The sequence below is a fragment of the Homo sapiens genome, chromosome X, assembly GCF_000001405.40.
Source record: "Homo sapiens chromosome X, GRCh38.p14 Primary Assembly".
NCBI lineage: Eukaryota > Metazoa > Chordata > Mammalia > Primates > Hominidae > Homo > Homo sapiens.
Window position 1 is genome coordinate 21,331,421 of NC_000023.11, and position 18,433 is coordinate 21,349,853.

Sequence of the window (18,433 nt, forward strand, 5' to 3'; positions counted from 1 at the left end):
TCAGCTCCATCAGCTCCTTTAAGCACTTCTCTGTATTGGTTATTCTAGTTATACATTCTTCTAAATTTTTTTCAAAGTTTTCAACTTCTTTGCCTTTGGTTTGAATTTCCTCCTGTAGCTCGGAGTAGTTTGATCGTCTGAAGCCTTCTTCTCTCAACTCGTCGAAGTCATTCTCCATCCAGCTTTGTTCCGTTGCTGGTGAGGAACTGCGTTCCTTTGGAGGAGGAGAGGCGCTCTGCTTTTTAGAGTTTCCAGTTTTTCTGCTCTGTTTTTTCTCCATCTTTGTGGTTTTATCTACTTTTGGTCTTTGATGCTGGTGATGTACAGATGGGTTTTTGGTGTAGATGTCCTTCACCACAAAAAAAAAAAAAGAAAACAATAAAACAGGGGTTGCTATCCTAATTTCGGACAACACAAATTTTAAACAAACAAATATAAAAAAAAGGCAATTAAGGACATTACATAAAGGTAAAGGGTTTAATAGAACGAGAAGACTAACTATCCTAAACATATATGTGCCCAACACAGGAGCATGCAGATTCAGAAAGCAAGTTCTTAGAGACCTTCCATGAGACTTAGACTCCCATGCAATAATAGTGGGAGAATTCAACACCGCACTGACAGTTTTAGACAGATCATCAAGGCAGAAAAAAATATATATTCAGGACCTGAACTCAATAGTGGACCAAATGGATTTGATAAACATCTACAGAACTCACCATCCAAAAACAACATAACATACATTCTTCTCATGTGCACATAAAAATGATCTAAAATCAAAAACACAATTAGATGTAAAACAATCATGGGCAAATTCAAAAGAATTAAAATTATACTAACCACTCTATCAGACCAAACTGCAATAAAAATAGAATTCAAGATGAAGAAAATTGCTCAAAGCCATACAATTACATAAAAATTAAACAACCTACTCCTGAATGACTTTTGGGTGAAAGTGAAATTAAGACAGAAATCAAGAAGTTATTTGAAACTAGTGAGAACAAAGATACAACATACAAGAATCTCTGGACACAGCAAAAGCAGTGTTAAGATGGAAATTTATAGCACTAAACTCCCACATCAAAAACTTAGAAAGATCTCAAATTAACAACCTAACATCACAACCAAAAAAAAAAAAAAAAAAAAAAAAAAACAGAGAAGCAAGAGCAAACCAGCTCCAAAGCTAGCAGAAGACAAAAAGTAGCCAAAATCAGAGCCGAACTGAAGGAGATCGAGACATAAAAAGCCATTCAAAAGAGCAACAAAGCCAGGAGCTGGTTTTTTGAAAAAAAAAAACTTACCAAAATAGATAGACCACAAGCTAGAGAATATTAAGAACACTTCTATGCACATAAACTAGAAAATCTAAAAGACATGGATAAATTCCTGGACACATACACCCTCCCAAGACTGAAGCAGGAAGAAATTGAATCCCTGAACAGACCAATAAAAAATTCTGTAATTGAGGCAATAATAAATAACCTACCAACCAAAAAAGTCCAAGACCAGAAAAATTCACAGCCAAATTCTACCAGATACACAAAGAAGAGCTGGTACCATTTCTACTGAAGCTATTCCAAAAAAAAAATGAGAAGAGACTCCCCCACTAACTCATTCTATGAGGCCAGCATCATCCTGATACCAAAACCTGGCAGAGATACAAAAAAAGAGAAAACTTCAGGACAATATCCTTGATAAACATCAATGCAAAAATCCTCAACAAAATACTAACAAACTGAACCCAGCAACAAATCAAAAAGCTAATCCACCATGATCAAGTTGGCTTCATCCCCAGGATGCAAGATTGGTTCAACATATGCAAATCAACAAATGTGATTTCTGAGATAAACAGAACTAAAGACAAAAACTACATGATTATCTCAACAGACACAGAAAAGGCTTTGATAAAATTCAACATCCCTTCATGTTAAAAACTCTCAACAAAGTAGGTATTGAATGAACTTACCTCAAAATAATAAGAGCCATATATGACAAACCCACAGCCAATATCATACTGAAAGGGTAAAATCTGGAAGCATTTCCCTTGAAAACCAACACAAGACAAAGATGCCCTCTCTCACCACTCCTAGTCAACATAATATTGGATTTCCTGACCAGAGGAATCAATCAAGAGAAAGAAATAAAAGGCATCCAAATAGGAACAGAGGAAGTCAAATTATCCCTGTTTGGAGAGGACATTTTATATCTAGCAAAGCCCATAGTCTCAGCCTAAAAGCTTTCTAAGCTTATGAACAATTTCAGCAAGGTTTCAGGAAACAAAATCAGTATACAAAAATCACTAGCATTCCTATACACAACAACAGTCAAACTGAGAACCAAATCAGGAATGCAATCCCATTCACAATTGCCATAAAAAGAATAAAATACCTAGAATACAGCTAACCAGGGAGGTGAAAAATCTCTACAAGGAGAATTACAAAACACTGCAAAAGAAATCAGACATGAAACAAACAAAAGGAAAAACATTCCATGCTCAGGGATAGAAAGAATCGATATTGTTAAAATGGCCATACTTCTGAAAGCTATTTACAGATTCAATACTATTCCTATCAGACTACCAATGACAGTCTTCACAGATCTAGAAAAAAGTATTTTAAAACTCTTATGGAACCAAAAAAGAGCCTGAATACCCAGAACAATCCTAAGCAAAAAGAACAAAGCAGGAGGCATCATGATGCCTGAGTTCAAACTATACTACAGTAATCAAAATAGCATGGTACTGGTACAAAAACAGACACATAGACCAATGGAACAGAATAGAAAGTCCAGAAATAAGGCCATACACCTAAAACCATCTGATCTTTGACAAGGCTAACAAAAATGAGCAATGGGAAAAGGACTCTTGTTGCGGGAAGTCAGGGGCCCCAAACAGAGGGACCAGCTGAAGCCATGGCAGAAGAACATAAATTGTGAAGATTTCATGGACATTTATTAGTTCCCCAAATTAATACATTTATAATTTCTTACACCTGTCTTTACTACAATCTCTGAATATAAATTGTAAAGATTTAATGGACATTTATCACTTCCCCAATTAATACTGTTGTGATTTCCTATGCCTGTCTTTAATCTCTTAATCCCGTCATCTTTGTAAGCTGAGGATGAATGTCACCTCAGGACCCTGTGATGATTGCATTAACTGCACAAATTGTTTAAACAATATGAAATCTGGGCACCTTGAAAAAAGAACAGGATAACAGTGATATTCAGGGAACCAGGGAGATAACCTTAAAGTCTGGCTGCCTGTGGGCCGGGTGGAACAGAGCCACATTTCTCTTCTTTCAAAAGCAAATAGGAGAAATATCGCTGAATTCTTTTTCTCAGCAAGGAACAGCCCTGAGAAAGAGAGTGCATTCCTAGGGGTAGGCCTCTGAAACGGCTGCTCTGGGAACGTCTGTCTTTTACGGTTGTGAGTAAGGGATGAAATAAGCCCCAGTCTCCCGTAGCGCTCCCAGGCTTATTAGGACGAGGAAATTCCCACTTAATAAATGTTGGTCAGACTGGTTGTCTGCTCTCAAACCCTGTCTCCTGACAAGATGTTATCAATGACAATGCGTGCCCGAAACTTCATTAGCAACTTTAATTTCACCCCGGTCCTGTGATCTCGCCCTGCCTCCATTTGCCTTGTGATATTTTATTACCTTGTGAAGCATGTGATCTCTGTGACCCATACCCTATTCGTACACTCCTTCCCCTTTTGAAAATCACTAATAAAAGCTTCCTGGTTTTGCGGCTTGGGGGACATCACGGAACCTGCCGACATTTGATGTCTCCCCTGGACAACCAGCTTTAAAAATTTCTCTCTTTGTACTCTTTCCCTTTATTTCTCAGACCAGCCGACACTTAGGGAAAATAGAAAAGGACCCATGTTGAAATATCGGGGGCTGAATTTCCCCTGATAGACTCCCTATTCAATAAATGGTGTCATGATGAGTGGTAGCCATATGCAGAAGATTTAAACTGAAACCCTATCTTTAACTGCATACAAAAATTAACTCAAGATGGATTAAAGACTTAAATGTAAAACGAGAAACTACAAAAACCCTGCAGCCCTAGGGGGATGGTGTTAAACCATTAGAACCATAATCCAATCACCTCTCACCAGGCCCCACCTCCAACACTCAGGATCACAATTCAACATGAGATTTGGGTGGGGACAGAGAGCCAAACCGTATCACTACACATCTGACAAAGGTCTAATATCAAGCATCTATAAGGAACTTAGACAAATTTACAAGACAAAAACAACCACATAAAAAAGTGAACAAATGATATGAACAGACACTTTTCAAAAGAAGACACAGATGCAGCCAACAAGCATATGGAAAAAGCTCAATATAACTGATCATTAGAGAAATGCAAATCAGAAACATAATGAAATACCAATTCACATCAGTCAGAATGGCTATTACTAAAAAGTCAAAATTAACAGATGCTGGCAAGGTTGTGGAGAAAACAGAATACTTATAAACTGTTGGTGGAAGTGTAAATTAGTTCAACCATTGTGGAAAGCAGTGTGAAAATTTATCAAAGAGCTCAAAACAGAACTACCATTCAACCCAACAATCCCATTACTGGGTATATACCCAAAGGAATATAAATCATTCCATCACAAAGACACATGCATGGGGATGTTCACTGCAGCACAATTCACAATAGCAAAGACAAGGGATCAACCTAAAGGCCCATCAATGGAAGACTGGATTTTAAAAATGTGGTACATATATACCATGAAATGCTATGCAGCCATAAAAAAGAATGAGATTATGTCCTTTGCAGAAACATGGATGAAGCTGGAAGCCATTATACTTAGAGAACTAATGTACAAACAGAAAACCAAATATTACATGTTCTCCCATACAAGTGGGAGCTAAATGACGAGAACACAGGGACACAACGAGTGGAAAAAGAGCCACTGGGGGCCTACCAGTGGGTGGAGAGTGGGAGGAGGGAGAAGAATAGAAAAAATAAATATTGGGTACTAGGCTTAGTACCTGGGTGATAAAACAATCTGCACATCAAACTTCCATGAAATGAATATACCTATATAACAAGCCTTCACATATAGCCCTGAACCTAAAATAAAAGTTTTTAAACAATAAAAAAAGAAAAAGGAGACAGGACAACTAATACCACAGAAATTCAAAGGATCATTAGTGACTACTATGAGCCACCATATGCCAATAAATTGGAAAACCTAGAAGAAATGGGTAAACTCCAAGACACATAAAATTTATCAAGATTGAACCATGAAGAAATAAAAAACCCAAGGAAAACAATAAGTGATGAGATCAAAGCCATGATAAAACATCTCCCAGTAAAGAAAAGCCCAAGACCCAATGGCTTCACCACTGAATTCTACCAAATATTTAAAAAAGTATTAATGCTAATCCTAAGCAAACAATCCTAACAAAAAGAAAGAAGGAAGGAATATTTCCAAAGTGATTCTATGAGGCCAGTTTTATGGATACTAAAACCAAACAAAGATACATGAAAAAAAGACAATTACAGGCCAACATCCCTGATGAACATTGATACAAAAATCCTCAACACAATACTAGCAAACCAAATTCAAAAACACATTAAAAAGATCATTTATCATGACCAAGTGGAATTTACCCTTGGGATGAAAGAATGATTCTACATATGCAAATCACTCAATGTGAAACATCATATCAACAGAATTAAGGGCAAAACCCCTCTGGTTATTTCAAATGATACTGAAAAAAGCTTTTGATAAAATTCAGTATCCCTTCATGGAAAAAAAAAAACCCTCAGAAAACTGGGTGTAGGAGAAACATATCTTAACACGAAGAAAGCCATATATGACAGACCCACAGCTAGTATCATATTGAAAAATTGAAAGCTTTTCCTTCAAGATCTGGAACAGGACAAGAGTACTCACTTTATGGCTGTTTTTCCACATAGTACTGGAAGCCCTAGCTAGAGCAATCAGACAAGAGAAAAAAAGAAACAGCATCCAAATTGGAAAGGAAGAAGTCAAATTATCCTTGTTTGCAGATGATATGATCTTATATTTGGAAAAACCTAAGTCTACACACACACACATACACACACACACACACACACACACACACACACACACACGATTAGAACTGATGAACAAATTCAGTAAAGTTTCAGGATACAAAATCAACTTACAAAAATCAGAAGCATTTCTATATGCCAACAGCAAACAACCTTAAATAGAAATCAAGAATGTAATTCCAGGTACAAACACTACAGATAAAATTAAATACCTAGGAATTAAGCAAAACAGTGAAAGATTTTCTACAATTAAAACTATAAAACATTGATGCAAAAAATTGAAGAGGACACAAAAAATAAAAAAAATTCCATGTTCCTGTATTCAAAGAATCTATTGTTAAAATGTCTATACTACCCAAAGCAATCTGTAGAGTCAATGCAATCCCTATCAAAGTAACAATGACATTCTTCACAGAAATAGAAAAAATCCTAAAATTTATAAGTAACCAGAAAAGATACTGAATAGCCAAAGCTACCCAGAGCAAAAAGAACTGAACTGGAGGAATCACATTACCTAACTTCAAATTATACTACAGAGCTATAGTAAGCAAAACAGCACGGTACTGGCATAAAAACAGACACATGGACCAGTGGAACAAAATAGACAACCCAGAATTAAATTCAGACATCTTCAGTGAACTCGTTTTTGACAAAAGTGCCAAAGACATACACTGGGGAAAAGACAGTCTCTTTAATAAATAGATATCCATATGCAGAAGAATGAAACTAGACCCCTATCTCTTGCCATGTACAAAATTCAAATCAAAATGGATTGAAGACTTAATTCTAAGACTCCAAATTATGAAACAACTCAAAGAAAACTTTGGGTAAACTCTCTACGACGTTTGGATAGGCAAACATTTTTTGAGTAATACCCTACAAGCCCAAGTAGTCAAAGCAAAAATGGACAAATTGGATCACAGCATGTTAAAAAGCTTCTGCACAGCAAACGAAATAATAAACAAAATGAAGAGACAACCCAGAGAATGGGAGAAAATGTTTGGAAAGTATCCATCTGACAAGGGATTAATAACCAGAATACATTAGGAGATCAAAAACTCAACTAATAATATGATTCTAAAAATGAGCAAAAGATCTGAATATACACTTCTCAAAAGAAGACACACAAATGGAAAAAAGGGATATGAAAAGGTGTGCAAAATTATTGATCATTAAAGAAAGGCAAATCAAATGTACAATGAGTTGTCATCTCACCCTAGTAAAAATGGTTTTTATCTGATATGGTTTGATTCTGTGTCCCCACCCAAATCTCATCTTGAATTGTACTCCCATAATTCCCATACGTTATGGGAGGGACCCGGTGGGAAATAATTTGAATCATGGGGGTGATTTCCCCCATACTGTTCTTGTGGTTGTGAACAAGTCTCACAAGTTCTGATGGTTTTATCAGGGGTTTCCGCTTTTGCATCTTCCTTATTTTCTCTTGCTGCCACGATGTAAGATGTGTCTTTCACCTCCCACCATGATTCTGAGGACTCCTGAGCTAAGTGGAACTGTAAGTCCAATTAAACTTCTTTTTCTTCCCAGTCTCGGGTATGTCTTTATCAGCAGTGTGTAAATGAACTAATACACTATCCAAAACATAGGCAATAATAAATGCTAGTGAGGATGATCAGAAAAGGCAACCAATACACACTATTGGTGAGAATGTAAATTAGTATGGACACTATGGAAAACAGTATAGAGTTTCCTCAAAAACTAAAAATAGAGCTACCACATGATCCAATAATCCCACTACCAGGTATATACCCAAAAAAAAGGAAATCCATATATTGAAACAACCTCTGCCGTCTTATGTATATTGCAGCCCTATTCACAATAGGCAAAATTTAGAAGTAACCTAAGTGTCCATAAACAGACAAATGAATAAACAAAATGTGGTACATATACACAATGGAATACAATTCAGCCATAAAAAAGAATGAGATCCTGTCATTTATAAAAACATGGACGGGGGGAGGAGCCAAGACGCCCGAATAGGAATGGCTCCAATCTACAGCTCCCAGCGTGAGCGATGCAGAAGATGGGTGATTTCTGCATTTCCATCTGAGGTACCAGGTTCATCTCACTAGGGAGTGCCAGACAGTGGGTGCAGGACAGTGGGTGCAGCGCACCGTGTGCGAGCGGAAGGAGGGCGAGGCATTGCCTCACTCGGGAAGCGCAAGGGGTCAGGGAGTTCCCTTTCCCAGTCAAAGAAAGGGGTGACAGACGGCACCTGGAAAATCGGGTCACTCCCACCCTAATACTGCACTTTTCCGACAGGCTTAAAAAACGGTGCACCAGGAGATTATATCCTGCACCTGGCTCGGAGGGTTCTACGCCCATGGAGTCTCGCTGATTGCTAGCACAGCAGTCTGAGATCAAACTGCAAGGCAGCAGCGAGGCTGGGGGAGGGGCGCCCACCATTGCTCAGGCTTGCTTAGGTAAACAAAGCAGCCGGGAACCTCGAAATGGGTGGAGCCCACCACAGCTCACAGAGGCCTGCCTGCCTCTGTAGGCTCTACCTCTGGGGGCAGGGCACAGACAAACAAAAAGACAGCAGTAACCTCTGCAGACTTAAATGTCCCTGTCTGACAGCTTTGAAGAGAGTAGTGGTTCTCCCAGCACGCAGCTCGAGATCTGAGAACGGACAGACTGCCTCCTCAAGTGGGTCCCTGACCCCCAAGTAGCCTACCTGTGAGGCACTGCTTTCGCAGTGGTTCTCCCAGCACGCAGCTGGAGATCTGAGAACGGGCAGACTGCCTCCTCAAGTGGGTCCCTGACCCCTCACCCCCGAGCAGCCTAACTGGGAGGCACCCCCCAGTAGGGGTAGACTGACACCTCACATGGCCGGGTACTCCTCTGAGACAAAACTTCCAGAGGAATGATCAGACAGCAGCATTCGCGGTTCATGAAAAAATGCTGTTCTGCAGTCACCGCTGCTGATACCCAGGCAAACGGGGTCTGGAGTGGACCTCTAGCAAACTCCAACAGACCTGCAGCTGAGGGTCCTGTCTGTTAGAAGGAAAACTAACAAACAGAAAGGACATCCACACCAAAAACCCATCTGTACATCACCAGCATCAAAGACCAAAAGTAGATAAAACCACAAAGATGGAGAAAAAACAGAGCAGAAAAACTGGAAACTCTAAAAAGCAGAGCACCTCTCCTCCTCAAAAGGAACGCAGTTCCTCACCAGCAACTGAACAAAGCTGGATGGAGAATGACTTTGACGAGTTGAGAGAAGAAGGCTTCAGACGATCAAACTACTCCGAGCTACAGGAGGAAATTCAAACCAAAGGCAAAGAAGTTAAAAACTTTGAAAAAAATTTAGACAAATGTGTAACTAGAATAACCAATGCAGAGAAGTGCTTAAAGGAGTTGATGGAGCTGAAAGCCAAGGCTTGAGAACTACGTGAAGAATGCAGAAGCCTCAGGAGCCGATGCCATCAACTGGAAGAAAGGGTATCAGTGATTGAAGATCAAATGAATGAAATGAAGCGAGAAGGGAAGTTTAGAGAAAAAAGAATAAAAAGAAACGAACAAAGCCTCCAAGAAATATGGGACTATGTGAAAAGACCAAATCTACGTCTGATTGGTGTACCTGAAAGTGACGGGGAGAATGGAACCAAGTTGGAAAACACTCTGCAGGATATTATTCAGGAGAACTTCCCCAATCTAACAAGGCAGGCCAACATTCAGATTCAGGAAATACAGACAATGCCACAAAGATACTCCTCGAGAAGAGCAACTCCAAGACACATAGTTGTCAGATTCACCAAAGTTGAAATGAAGGAAAAAATGTTAAGGGCAGCCAGAGAGAAAGGTCGGGTTACCCACAAAGGGAAGCCCATCAGACTAACAGTGGATCTCTCAGCAGGAACTCTACAAGCCAGAAGAGAGTGGGGGCCAATATTCAACATTCTTAAAGAAAAGAATTTTCCACCCAGAATTTCATATCCAGCCAAACTAAGCTTCATAAGTGAAGGAGAAATAAAATACTTTACAGACAAGCAAATGCTGAGAGATTTTGCCACCACCAGGCCTGCCCCAAAAGAGCTCCTGAAGGAAGCACTAAACATGGAAAGGAACAACCGGTACCAGCCACTGCAAAAACATGCCAAATTGTAAAGATCATCGAGGCCAGGAAGAAACTTCATCAACTAACGAGCAAAATAACCAGCTAACATCATAATGACAGGATAAAATTCACACATAACAATATTAACTTTAAATGTAAATGGACTAAATGCTCCAATTAAAAGACACAGACTGGCAAATTGGATAAAGAGTCAAGACCCATCAGTGCGCTGTATTCAGGAAACCCATCTCATGTGCAGAGACACACATAGGCTCAAAATAAAAGGATGGAGGAAGATCTACCCAGCAAACGGAAAACAAAAAAGGCAGGGGTTGCAATCCTAGTCTCTGATAAAACAGACTTTAAACCAACAAAGATCAAAAGAGACAAAGAAGGCCATTACATAATGGTAAAGGGATCAATTCAACAAGAAGAGCTAACTATCCTAAATATATATGCACCCAATACAGGAGCACCCAGATTCATAAAGCAAGTCCTGAGTGACCTACAAAGAGACTTAGACTCCCACACAATAATAATGGGAGACTTTAACATCCCACTATCAACATTAGACAGATCAACGAGACAGAAAGTTAACAAGGATACCCAGGAATTGAACTCAGCTCTGCACCAAGCGGACCTAATAGACACCTACAGAACTCTCCACCCCAAATCAACAGAATATACATTTTTTTCAGCACCACACCACACCTATTCCACAATTGACCACATGGTTGGAAGTAAAGCTCTTCTCAGCAAATGTAAAAGAACAGAAATTATAACAAACTGTTTTTCAGACCACAGTGCAATCAAACTAGAACTCAGGATTAAGAAACTCACTCAAAACCGCTCAACTACACGGAAACTGAACAACCTGCTCCTGAATGACTACTGGGTACATAACGAAATGAAGGCAGAAATAAAGATGTTCTTTGAAACCAATGAGAACAAAGACACAACATACCAGAATCTCTGGGACACATTCAAAGCAGTGTGTAAAGGGAAATATATAGCACTAAATGCACACAAGAGAAAGCAGGAAAGATCCAAAATTGACACCCTAACATCACAATTAAAAGAACTAGAAATGCAAGAGCAAACACATTCAAAAGCTAGCAGAAGGCAAGAAATAACTAAAATCAGAGCAGAACTGAAGGAAATAGGACACAAAAAACCCTTCAAAAAATCAATGAATCCAGGAGCTGGTTTTCTGAAAGGATCAACAAAATTGATAGACTGCTAGCAAGAGTAATAAAGAAGAAAAGAGAGAAGAATCAAATAGACGGAATAAAAAATGATAAAGGGGATATCACCACTGATCCCACAGAAATACAAACTACCATCAGAGAATACTACAAACACCTCTACGCAAATAAACTAGAAAATCTAGAAGAAATGGATAAATTCCTTGACACATACACCCTCCCAAGACTAAACCAGGATGAAGTTGAATCTCTGAATAGACCAATAACAGGCTCTGAAATTGTGGCAATAATCAATAGCTTACCAACCAAAAAGAGTCCAGGACCAGATGGATTCACAGCCAAATTCTACCAGAGGTACAAGGAGGAACTGGTACCATTCCTTCTGAAACTATTCCAATCAATAGAAAAAGAGGGACTCCTCCCTAACTCATTTTATGAGGCCAGCATCATCCTGATACCAAAGCCAGGCAGAGACACAACCAAAAAAGAGAATTTTAGACCAATATCCTTGATGAAAATTGATGCAAAAATCCTCAATAAAATACTAGCAAACCGAATCCAGCAGAACATCAAAAAGCTTATCCACCATGATCAAGTGGGCTTCATCCCTGGGATGCAAGGCTGGTTCAATATACGCAAATCAATAAATGTAATTCAGCATATAAACAGAACCAAAGACAAAAACCACATGATTATCTCGATAGATGCAGAAAAGACCTTTGACAAAATTCAACAACACTTCATGCTAAAAACTCTCAATAAATTAGCTATTGACGGGACGTATCTCAAAATAATAAGAGCTATCTATGACAAACCCACAGCCAATATCAAACTGAATGGGCAAAAACTGGAAGCATTCTCTTTGAAAACTGGCACAAGACAGGGATGCCCTCTCTCACCACTCCTATTCAACATAGTGTTGGAAGTTCTGGCCAGGACAATCAGGCAGGAGAAGGAAATAAAGGGTATTCGATTAGGAAAAGAGGAAGTCAAATTGTCCCTGTTTGCAGATGACATGATTGTAGATCTAGAAAACCCCATTGTCTCAGCCCAAAATCTCCTTAAGCTGATAAGCAACTTCAGCAAAGTCTCAGGATACAAAATCAATGTACAAAAATCACAAGCATTCTTATACACCAATAACAGACAAACAGAGAGCCAAATCATGAGTGAACTCCCATTCACAATTGCTTTAAAGAGAATAAAATACCTAGGAATCCAACTTACAAGGGACGTGAAGGACCTCTTCAAGGAGAACTACAAACCACTGCTCAAAGAAATAAAAGAGGATACAAATAAATGGAAGAACATTCCATGCTCATGGGTAGGAAGAATCAATATCGTGAAAATGGCCATACTGCCCAAGGTAATTTATAGATTCAATGCCATCCCCATCAAGCTACCAATGACTTTCTTCACAGAATTGGAAAAAACTAAAGTTCATATGGAACCAAAAAAGAGCCCGCATCGCCAAGTCAATCCTAAGCCAAAAGAACAAAGCTGGAGGTATCACGCTACCTGACTTCAAACTATACTACAAGGCTACAGTAACCAAAACAGCATGGTACTGGTACCAAAACAGAGATATAGATCAATGGAACAGAACAGAGCCCTCAGAAATAATGCTGCATATCTACAACTATCTGATCTTTGACAAACCTGAGAAAAACAAGCAATGGGGAAAGGATTCCCTATTTAATAAATGGTGCTGGGAAAACTGGCTAGCCATATGGAGAAAGCTGAAACTGGATCCCTTCCTTACACCTTATACAAAAATTGATTCAAGATGGATTAAAGACTTAAACATTAGACCTAAAACCATAAAAACCCTAGAAGAAAACCTAGGCATTACCATTCAGGACATAGGCATGGGAAAGGACTTCATGTCTAAAACACCAAAAGCAATAGCAACAAAAGCCAAAATTGACAAATGGGATCTAATTAAACTAAAGAGCTTCTGCACAGCAAAAGAAACTACCATCAGAGTGAACAGGCAACCTACAAAATGGGAGAAAATTTTCGCAACCTACTCATCTGACAAAGGGCTAATATCCAGAATCTACAATGAACTCAAACAAATTTACAAGAAAAAAACAAATAACCCCATCAAAAAGTGGGCAAAGGACATGAACAGACACTTCTCAAAAGAAGACATTTATGCAACCAAAAGACACATGAAAAAATGCTCACCATCACTGGCCATCAGAGAAATGCAAATCAAAACCACAATGAGATACCATCTCACACCAGTTAGAATGGCAATCATTAAAAAGTCAGGAAACAACAGGTGCTGGAGAGGATGTGGAGAAATATGAACATTTTTACACTGTTGGTGGGAGTGTAAACTAGTTCAACCATTGTGGAAGACAGTGTGGTGATTCCTCAGGGATCTAGAACTAGAAATTCCATTTGACCCAGCCATCCCATTACTGGGTATATACCCAAAGGATTATAAATCATGCTGCTATAAAGACACATGCACACGTATGTTTATTGCAGCACTATTCACAATAGCAAAGACTTGTACCCAACCCAAATGTCCAACAATGATAGACTGGATTAAGAAAATGTGGCACATATACACTATGGAATACTATGCAGACATAAAAAATGATGAGTTCATGTCCTTTGTAGGGACATGGATGAAATTGGAAATCATCATTCTCAGTAAACTATCACAAGAACAAAAAACCAAACACCGCATATTTTCACTCATAGGTGGGAATTGAACAATGAGAACACATGGACACAGGAAGGGGAACATCACACTCTGGGGACTGTTATGGGGCGGGGGTGGGGGGAGGGATAGCATTAGGAGAGATACCTAATGCTAAATGACGAGTTAATGGTTGCAGCACACCAGCATGGCACATGTATACATATGTAACTAACCTGCACATTGTGCACATGTACCCTAAAACTTAAAGTATAATAATAATAAAATTTAAAAAAAAAACATGAACGGAACTGGACCACATTATGTTAAGTGAAATAAGGCAGGCACAGGAAGACAAACTTCACAAGTTCTCAAAAATTTGTTTGAGCAAAAAATGAAAACAATTGAACTCATGGAGATAGTAAAATGATCATTACCAGAGGCTGGGAAGTGTTGTAGGTGGTGTGGGGAAATGAGGATTAATAACAGGTACAAAAATATATATAGATAGAATGAATAAGGTCTAGTATATGGGCAGCACAACAGGGTGATTACAGTCAACAATAATTTATTGTACATTTTAAAATAAAAGAGTATAATTGGATTGCTTGTAACATAAACAAATGATGAATGCTTGAGGTGATGGATACCTATTTACCCTGATGTGGTTATTATGCATTGTGAGCCTTTATCAAAATATCTAACATACTTCAGAAATATATACACCTAGTATGTACCCATAAAACTTAAAAATTAAAAAAATTAAAAGTAGTTTGTCTTTAGGACAGCTGTTCGTTAATGAGAACAGAATACTCTTGGCATATTTTGAAATACTTACTTTCCCCTTGCCCTGCTAAAAGCAACAGTGGATTTTCTCTGATCTTCACCCTGACAACCTACTGGGGCTTCTGGAGGTATAAGTCAATCACAAAAGTAGGAAACTTCCCAAAGGCTAGGTGCCTAGGAATGTTTTATCTCTCAAGCTTAGCCCATACTCAGTTTCAAGCAATTCACCAATTACAATTTATATGTTTCTACCGGGTTCCAACTGTAGCTTCTGCTCTGGTAAATTGTGATTCGCTATATTTCCATTTTTCCAGTTTTCAGAGCATTGGTTTTCCTTGTGATCACAATTTTCTAATGGATCTAAGAATTGTTGATTTTCTGTTTATTCGGCTTTTTGCTTGTGATGAATGGATGATGACTTCTAAATTCTTTACATGTTGGACCAGAAACTACAAATAAGTGGATTTTGTGGGTTTTTTTTTCAGTCACTCTGCCAATCTTTCTTTTAATTGGTGTAGACAAACCATTTACATTTAAGTTAATTATTGTTATCTGTGTCTTATGTCAGCGATTATATTGTTTTCTCTTTGTTTTCTGTTTCTCATTCTTCTTTTTCTCTTATCTCCCTATGGGTTTTAAATATTTTAAAGATTATATCCTGACAAACATATAGTGTTTTTGAATAAATTTGCCCATATAGTTTTCTTACAGTTGCTCTAGGTATTATAATATAAATATGTAAATATAACAATGTACTGGTTTTAGTATTATACATTTTTAGTAAAATATTGAAACATGAACTCCATTTATGTCCTTTTATCCTCCCCACTTAAAAAAATATTTGTTTCAAGTATGTCCTCTACCTATGTTAAGCACCACATCAACTGGTGTTATAATTTTTGCCTCAACCTTCAAATATAATTTTAAAAACTTATGAGGGCCAGACATGGTGGCTCATGCCTGTAATCCCAGTACTTTGGGAGGCTGAGGTGGGTGAATCACCTGAGGTCAGGAGTTTGAGACCAGTCTAACCAACATGGTGAAACTGCATCTCTACTAAAAATACAAAAAAAAAAAATAGCTGGGTGTGGTGGCAGGTGCCTTGTAATCCCAGCTACTCAGGAGGCTGAGGCAGGGGAATTCCTTGAACTTGGGAGCTGGAGATTGAAGTGAGCCGAGTTGGCACCACTGCAATCCAGCGTGGGCAACAGAGCAAGACTCCGTCTCAAAATAAATAAATAAATAAATAAATAAGAAAACTTATGAGGAGTTGGATAATCTATTATAGTTACTCCTACTTTTACACATTCCAATTTTCTTTCCTTTCTGAAGTTGAAAGCCTTCTGTTATTAGCTTTCTGAATACAGAATTTTCTTTAGCAATCTGTAGTAGGACTGTTGCTTGCACATAATTTTTAATTTTCCTTTGTATCAGAACATTTTTATTTCCCCTTCATTCATAATATATATTTTCTCCAGATACAGAACTCTCTGTAACAGTTCTTTACATTCAGCACTTGAAAACTGTTGTGCCATTTACTTCTGATCTCCATAATTTCAGATGAGAAATCCATAGTCTTGGCAATCAGTGTTCCCCTATGAATAATGCAGCATCTCTCTCTGGCTGCTTTCAAAATATTTTTCTTGTCTTTAATTTTCAGAAGTTTAATTATGATTTCTGTTAGTGTGGATTTCTGTGAATTTATCCTATTTAGAGTATGCTTAGCTTCTTGAATCTGTAGGCTTATTTCTGTGGTCAAAATTTCAGACCCCAATAAAGAGAACAGTGGGACCAAGATGACCAGTTAGAAGCAGCTGTGGTCCATGGCACTCATGGAGAGGAATGAAAGGGATGAGTGAAATCAGCACCTTCTACTGAAATATACAGGTTCTTGCATTCAGACTGATTGGGCAAACAACTCAATCCACAGAGAACAAAGAAAAGCAGGGTGGGGTGACGGCCTACCCAGGAGCAACACAGAGCCAAAGGACCTCCTACCCACAGCCAAGGGATGTGGTGAGTGACTGTGCAACCCTATCTGGGAAACCATGCTTCTCCCATGGATCTTTGAAACCCATGGGTCAGGAGATCCCCTTGTGAGCTCACACCACCAGGGCCTTGGGTCTGATACACAGAGCTGTGTGGAGTCTCCACAGTGCAGCCACTCAGGCACACACAAAGACCCAGGAATTTTATATACTCTGTCCCTGGGATCCCTGGCAAGGTGGAAGGTCCATCCATACATACCCTTAGGATGGGGCTGAATCCAGGGAGCAAAGCAGCATCATTGTGCAGGCCCCATTTCCAAAGTACCTCAAAAGATAGCACCCATTGGCTTGGAATTCCTACCAGCCAATGGCAACAGGCTAGAGTCTGCCTGAGATGGGATGGAGTTCCCAGAGGGAGGGTTGGCCACCATCTCTGTGGTTCAGTCAACTCAGCCATTCCAGCCATCCAGCTTTGAAGAGTACAAACAGTCTGGATGAGGAAGGGTCCCCCACCAATTCAGCACAGCTGCTTTGCCAGATTGTGGCCAGTGGCACAATCTCGGCTCACTGCAACCTCTGCCTCCCAGGTTCAAGCGATTCTCCTGCCTCAGTCTCCCAAGTAGCTGGGACTGCAGGCACGCACCACCATGTCCAGCTAATTTTTGTATTTTTTAGTACAGATGGGGTTTTGTCACATTGACCAGGATGGTCTCGATCTCTTGACCTCATGATCTGCCCACCTCAGCCTCCCACAGTGCTGGGATTAAAGGCGTGAGCCACTGCACCCGGCCCAGACTGCTTCTTTAAGCACGATCCAGATCGTGATCCATTCCTCCTCACTGGGCAGGACCTCCCTGCAGGGGCTCCGGCCACTTCAGCCAGGATTATACACACAGAGCTGTGATCTCTCACTGGGATGGAGCTCCTGGACAGAGGAGCAGCTGCCATCTCTGTGGTTCGGTCAACTCAGCCATTCCAGCCTGCTGGCTTTGGAGAGTTCAAATGGTTCAAACAAGGAAGGGTCCCCCAACAAAGCAGTAAACCTGCTTTACCAAAAAGCAGCCAGACTGCTTCTTTAAGTGGGTCCCTGATTCTACCCCTCTTGACTGGGTGAGACCTCCCAACAGGGGTCTCCAGACACCTCCTACAGGCATGTTCAGGCCAGCAACAGGTCAGTACCCTGCTGGGACGAAGCTTCCAGAGGAAGAAGCAGGCTCCCATCTTTGCTGTTTTGCAGGCTTCACTGGTGATACCTCCAGGTACAGGAAAAACTGAGGAAACTAGGGTCTGGAGTGGTCCCTTAAAAAACTGCAGTAGCCCTATGGAAGACTGGGCTGACTGTTAAAAGGAAAATGTAAACAACAACAACAAAGACTCCACAAAAGCCACATTCAAAGATCAGCAACCTCAAAGACTGAAGGTAAATAAGCCCACAAAGATGAAAAAGAATCACTGCAAAAACACTGAAAACTCAAAAAGCCAGAATGCCTCTTCTCCTCCAAATGACTGCAGCACCTCTCCAGCAAGGGCACAGAACTGGGCCAAGACTGAGATGGCTGAATTGACAGAAGTGAGCTTCAGGTGTGTAATAATGAACTTTCCTAAGCTAAAGGAGCATGTTGTAACCCAAAGCAAAGAAGCTAACTAT

The 18,433-nt window shown here is 39.5% G+C and overlaps 1 protein-coding gene across 1 annotated transcript in view, besides 1 other annotated feature; it reads right to left on the reverse strand.

Annotated features, from left to right (window-relative positions):
- The window catches only part of LOC105373146 (uncharacterized), a 74,604-nt gene that overhangs the window by 31,602 nt on the left and 24,569 nt on the right, over nt 1–18,433 (reverse strand). The gene's annotated exons all lie outside the window — the stretch shown is intronic.
- Nucleotides 8,375–8,874: an enhancer, noted in NCBI's record as "H3K4me1 hESC enhancer chrX:21357913-21358412 (GRCh37/hg19 assembly coordinates)". NCBI's record gives its function as "activates a minimal SCP1, AML or CMV promoter by ChIP-STARR-seq in naive H9 embryonic stem cells {active_cell/tissue: H9 hESC(naive)}" and the evidence as "EXISTENCE:reporter gene assay evidence [ECO:0000049][PMID:30033119]".